The 6000-nt window shown below is 43.1% G+C and overlaps 2 annotated features.

Moving 5' to 3' along the window:
- Positions 2896-3467: an enhancer, noted in NCBI's record as "OCT4-NANOG hESC enhancer chr1:230153835-230154406 (GRCh37/hg19 assembly coordinates)". NCBI's record gives its function as "activates a minimal SCP1, AML or CMV promoter by ChIP-STARR-seq in naive and primed H9 embryonic stem cells {active_cell/tissue: H9 hESC(naive and primed)}" and the evidence as "EXISTENCE:reporter gene assay evidence [ECO:0000049][PMID:30033119]".
- Positions 5034-5534: an enhancer, noted in NCBI's record as "H3K27ac hESC enhancer chr1:230155973-230156473 (GRCh37/hg19 assembly coordinates)". NCBI's record gives its function as "activates a minimal SCP1, AML or CMV promoter by ChIP-STARR-seq in naive H9 embryonic stem cells {active_cell/tissue: H9 hESC(naive)}" and the evidence as "EXISTENCE:reporter gene assay evidence [ECO:0000049][PMID:30033119]".

Genomic DNA, 6000 nt, shown 5'->3' on the forward strand with positions numbered 1-6000 from the left:
TCACTGCAACCTCTACTTCCTGGGTTCAAGCGATTCTCATGCCTCAGCCTTCCAAGTAGCTGGGACTACAGGTGCCTGCCACCATGCCTGGCTAATTTTTGTATTTTTAGTAGAGATGGGGTTTCACCATGTTGGCCAGGCTTGTCTCGAACTTCTGACCTCAGGTGATTCACCTGTCTCGGCCTCCCAGAGTGCTGAGATTACAGGCATGAGCCACCACATCCGGCCCAGTTTTTAACATAATTTTTTTAAAGTTTTTAAAAATTTTAAATAGAAATAATCTTATAGAATAAGTATATAAAAGATTTTGTACAACTGTACAGTGTGTTTGTGTTTTCAGTTGTGTTATTACAAAAGATTCAAAAAGTTTAAAAATTTGGAAGTTTCCAAAGTAAAAAACTTACAGTAAGCTGAGGTTAATTTATTATTGAAGAAAGAAAAGTTTTTAAAATATAAATTTAGTGTAGCCTAAATATAAAGGGTTTATAAAGTCTACAGTAGTGTGTGGTAGTGTCCTGGGCCTTCCCATTCACTCACCACTCACTCACGGACTCATTCAGGGCAACTTCCAGTCCCACAAGCTCCATTCATGGTAAGTGCCCTAGACAGCGTACTATTTTTCATCTTTTATAGCCATATTTTTACTGTACCTTTCCCATGTTTAGATATACAAATATTTACCATGGTGTTACAGTTGCCTACAGTGTTCAGTAAAGTCACACTACACAGATTTGGAGGCTGGGAGCGATAGGCTATACCATATAGCCTAGGTATGTAGTAGGCTGCACTGTCTAGCTTGGTGTAAGTACACTCTGTGCTGTTCATACAACAAAAGCACATCTAAAAGCACATTTCTCAGAACGTATCTTCATCATTAAGCAATGCACATCATTAAGCGATATACTTTTGATGTTATTTTTGATTTTTTACCACCGAATTCAGAGCCAATGGCACTACACCTTATGCATAAAGGAAACTTCTCTACCGTGTATTTTCTCCACAAGGCACATCACAGCCTTGCAGTGCATAGGAAAGCTGGACAGCACTTCAACACTATCCTTGGAGGCCATTTCAACAGCAAAGTCACAAACAAAAAGCACAGAAATGTGGAAAGCGTGGCATTAAATACACCACCACAAGAACGCTTGTTTGCAGCCTGAAAGCTGAAACAAGAAGGCAGATTATTGCCTCATTCCACCTCAGCTGGAAGCTTCTCATCCGGCCACTGAGATTTTTCACCACTCTGTGCATGGCTGCTAATGACTGTGAAAGTACTGCAAGTAATTAATCTTGGGGTTACAAATCAATTTTAGCAAGTAGGCAAATGAGCAACATGGAATCTGTGAGTAACGAGGGATAACTATCACTATTTGTTTTTGCTGCTGAGGAGTGTCCTTACTTTCTTAAAAGCTTAGCTGTGCATTTCAAAAAATCAATTGTTACATGTTGATCATTACTTCTAGGTATTCTACAAACAAGAAAGTTTTCAGGTTATCTAATCCAGAATAGTGCCAGAAAAGAAAGTCCTTGTCACAAGTGAGAAATGAATAAATGAGTTGGTAGTTTGTGGGTCGAGGGTGTCTTGGTTTTGCTGTACATATTTCTTTTTTCTTTTTTTTTCCTTTTTTATTTATTTATTCATTTATTATTTGAGACAGGGTCACAATTTGTTGCCCAGGCTGGAGTGGAGTAGCATGATCATGGCTCACTGCAGCCTTGAACTCCTGGGCTCAAGCAATCTTCCCACCTCAGCCTCCCTAGTGGCTGGGACCACAGGCCTCACCATACCTGGCTAATTTTTGTACCTTTTGTACAAATGGGGTTTTGCCGTGTTGCCTAGGCTGGTCTCGAATTCCTGGGCTCATGCAATCCACCTGCCTTGGCCTCCAAAAATGCTGGGATTACGCATGAGCCACCATGCCCAGCCTGGTTTTTAAAAAAATATTTAAAAATTTTTTAAATTGACGAATAATTTTTTTAACTTTTATTTTAGGTTTGGGGGCACATGTGAAGGTTTGTTACACAGGTAAACTCATTTCACAGGGATTTGTTGTACAGATTGTTTCATCACCCAGGTATTAAGCCCAGTAGCCAATAGTTATCTTTTCTGCTCCTCTCCCCCCTCCCGCCCTCCAGCCTCAGGTAGGCCCCAGTGTCTGCTGTTTCCTTTTTTGTGTTCATAAGTTCTCATCATTTAGCTCCCATTTGTAAGGGAGAATACGAGGTATTTCGTTTTCTGTTCCTCTGTTAGTTTGCTAAGGATAACGGCCTCCAGCTCCATCCGTGTTCCTGCAAAGGTTAGGATCTCATTCTCTTTTATGGCTGCATAGTACTCCATGGTGTATATATACCACATTTTATTTATCCAATCTGTCATTAATGGACACTTAGGTAGATTGCATGTCTTTGCTTTCATGAATAGTGCTGCAATGAACATAAACGTGCATGGGTCTTTACGGAAGAATGATTTTTATTCCTCTGGGTATATACCCAGTAATGAAATTGCTGGGTTGAATGGTGTTTCTGCCTTTAGGTCTTTGAGGAATTGCCATACTGTCTTCCACAACAGCTGAATGAACTTCCCTCCCAGTAACAGTGTAAAAGCGTTCAATTTTCTCCTCAACCTCACCAGCATATGTTGTTTTTTGACTTTTTAATAATAGCAATTCTGAATGGTTTAAGGTATCTCATTGTGGTTTCAATTTGCATTGCTCTAATGATCAGTGATATTGAGCTTTCCTTTATATGCTTGTGGGCTGCGTGTATGTCTTCCTTTGAGAAGTATCTGTTCATGCATTTTGCCTACTTTTTAATAGGGTTGTTTGTTTTTCTCTTATAAATTTGTTTAAGTTCCTTATAGATGCTGGATATTAGACCTTTGTCAGATACATAGTTTCCCAATATTTTCTCCCATTCTGTAGGTTATCTGTTTACTTTGATAGTTTCTTTTGCTGTGCAGAAGCTCCTAAATCTAATTGGATCCCACTTGTCAATTTTCGCTTTTGTTGTGATTGCTTTTGTTGTGTCTTTGTCATGAAATCCTTGCCCACTCCTATGTTCCGGAATGGTATTGTCAGGCCTCTGAGCCCAAGCTAAGCCATCATATCCCCTGTGACCTGCACGTACACATCCAGATGGCCAGTTCCTGCCTTAACTGATGACATTCCACCACAAAAGAAGTGAAAATGGCCTGTTCCTGCCTTAACTGAAGACATTGTCTTGTGAAATTCCTTCTCCTGGCTCATCCTGGCTCAAAAGCTCCCCCACTGAGTACCTTGTGACCCCCACGCCTGCCCGCCAGAGAACAACCCCCCTTTTCCCTTTACCTTCCCAAATCCTATAAAACAGCCCCAGCCCATCTCCCTTCGCTGACTCTCTTTTCGGACTCAGCCCGCCTGCACCCAGGTGAAGTAAACAGCCATGTTGCTCACACAAAGCCTCTTTGGTGGTCTCTTCACACGGACACACATGAAAGGTATTGCCTAGGTTGTCTTTCAGGGTTTTTATAGTTTTGGATTTTACATTTAAATCTTGAATCCATCTTGAGTTGATTTTCTTATATGGTATAAGGAAGGGTCCAGCTCCAATCTTCCACATATGGCTAGCCAGTTATCCCAGCACCATTTATTGAATAGGAAGTCTTTTCTCCATTGCTTGTCTTTGTCAGCCTTGTCAAAGATCAGATGGTTGTAGGTGTGTGGCCTTATTTCTGGGCTCTCTATTCTGTTCCATTGGTCTGTGTGCCTGTTTTTGTACCAGTACCATGCTGTTTTGGTTTAACTGACAAATAATAATTGTACATATTCATGGAGTACATAGTGATGTTTCGATACACTCAATGTATAGCGGTAGATCAGGATAATTAGCATATCCATCACCTAAAACAGTTATCATTTCTTTGCTTGGGGAACATACAAAATTATAGCTAGATAGGAGAAATAAGTTCTGGTGTCCTATACCACTGTCAGATGACTATAGTTAATAAATGGTTTCAAATAGCTAGGAGTATGACATTGTACGTTGTACACATTTCTTAACAAGCAGCACAGGAAAGTGTCTTGCAAGTCACGTGAGCCCAGCAAAAAAATAATTGCAGTCCAGTCCCCCACCTCTTCGGGTTGCATCCATACCTCAATCCTGCATGAATTCCAACAAATATTTGTGGAGTATCTACTATATGCCAGGTGCTGAACTAGGAACTAAGAAAACAAAGGTGGAAAGAAATGCTCTGCACCCTCTGGGTCTTCACAGCCTAGCTGCCAACTTGTCGTGCAGACAAAGGTGAACCAAATCACTTGGGGAACACGAGGCATGAGCAATTTACTTGGTGACACTCGGGGAAGCTTAGCAGCATTTGTCACATATGAACTTGGTGCATCAAGGCAAGTGTTCAACACCTACTTTGTGCCAGATGTTCTCCTGGACCTGTACAATCTTCTTTCTCCTTCTGCCCCCTTAGAAGTGAATATTTCTTGTCTACTTTCATGACCCCAGCTACCATCTATTTCCTTAAAATTTTCCAAACCTCAGTGTATTACCTGGAAGCTGTGGACACATTATTAAAACAGGCAGGCAAGGTCTCTACCTCCAAGATGCTTCTGGTCCAACGGGCGACCAGTAGGTGTGATCCATGTAGGAACTGCCGTGTCAGAAGTATCTTCACATCTCTTGGCACCAGCATCTCCTGAGCCTTGTGCAGCTTGCTTCACCTCTGCCACTGCCATGGCCAGCTGGACCCTCTTAGGCCCATGCAGTTCTGCTCCTGGGGCTGACCTGTCACCTGTCCTGAGAATGTGGGTGTCTGTCCTCTGGCTGCCAGCCAGCCACGTGCTCTGAGTGGATGTCTCCTGTAGACATTTCCAGACTTTAGTTAAAATGCCGTCATTCTGGTCTTGACATCCGACTTCCAAGGGGTGAGCTAACAAAACCCAGGGAGTGAAGCAGAGCAGGAGAGGAGACACATGCCCTCTGCTTCCCTGTGATTGTTCTCTGCAGTCATCTCAGGGAATCCTGTCCAAGCTGTGCCAGGTGGCGTGTGGACGCTCCTGCCCGGTGACCAGCTGTGTCCCTCGAAGCACATGAGGAAGCAGGAGCCAACAGAGCAGCCCATCACTGTGCACAACGACTCCTCTCTCCCCATCATGCAGGTCAGACCTCCTGAATAAAGCACTGGCACTAGATCCTTGCATCACTTTGTTTTGTAGGGAACCACAGCTGACATGACAATTATAAAGTATGAGTCGTTCTTTGAAAGAAACCAATGGAAAACCCTTCCCTGACCATTGCCTTCCCCAAGGAGATGCTCTCTAGGCTGAGTCTTGAAGGAGGAGAGGATGTCACCAAGAGTCCTAGCAAGGTTGAAGAGCTCTCCTAATGCTGGAGGTGCCATGTTCAAAGATCCAGAGGATCGAGCAGCCTGGTAGGCTCCTGGAACCATCAAGCCAGTGTGACTGGAGCAGGGAGAAGATGCCCTGTGGTCTTGCTGTCCTTGGTGTGCTGGTGAGCGTAGGGTGAAATGAGACCAGGCAAGGCCTCCAGTACCAAACTTGTTCCCTAGAATCCCACCTTGTTGTGGATCTTCCTACTCTTTACCCCAACCCACCCCTGCATCCCCCCATAAAAGTTCTATGATCTTCGTCCCACTGCTTGCCTGCTCTCTGATTTCTAGTGTAAATTCATCCAGGTTAGTTTCTTGTTGGATAAAATTATGTTACTATAACATCTAATTCCAGGAGACACAGCCATCATTTCATTCAAATAGTACGTATTTATTAAACACACAGTGAAAGAGGGCTGTGTTACACAGATACAAGGCAATAGAAGACTTTCCAGGAAAAAGCCATTGAATTCAAAAGAGCAACCTCAATGGGAGAATATGAGCCATTGGAGCAGATACTTTGGAGGAAAACAGCCACATACTCACATATGCTGAGTCTGCCCCAAAAACCTCTGTGCCCCACTCATTCCTGCATTCTTCCAAGGCCCAGTCTTGTCCCCTGG

This window comes from Homo sapiens, chromosome 1 (genome assembly GCF_000001405.40).
Source record: "Homo sapiens chromosome 1, GRCh38.p14 Primary Assembly".
Lineage (NCBI taxonomy): Eukaryota > Metazoa > Chordata > Mammalia > Primates > Hominidae > Homo > Homo sapiens.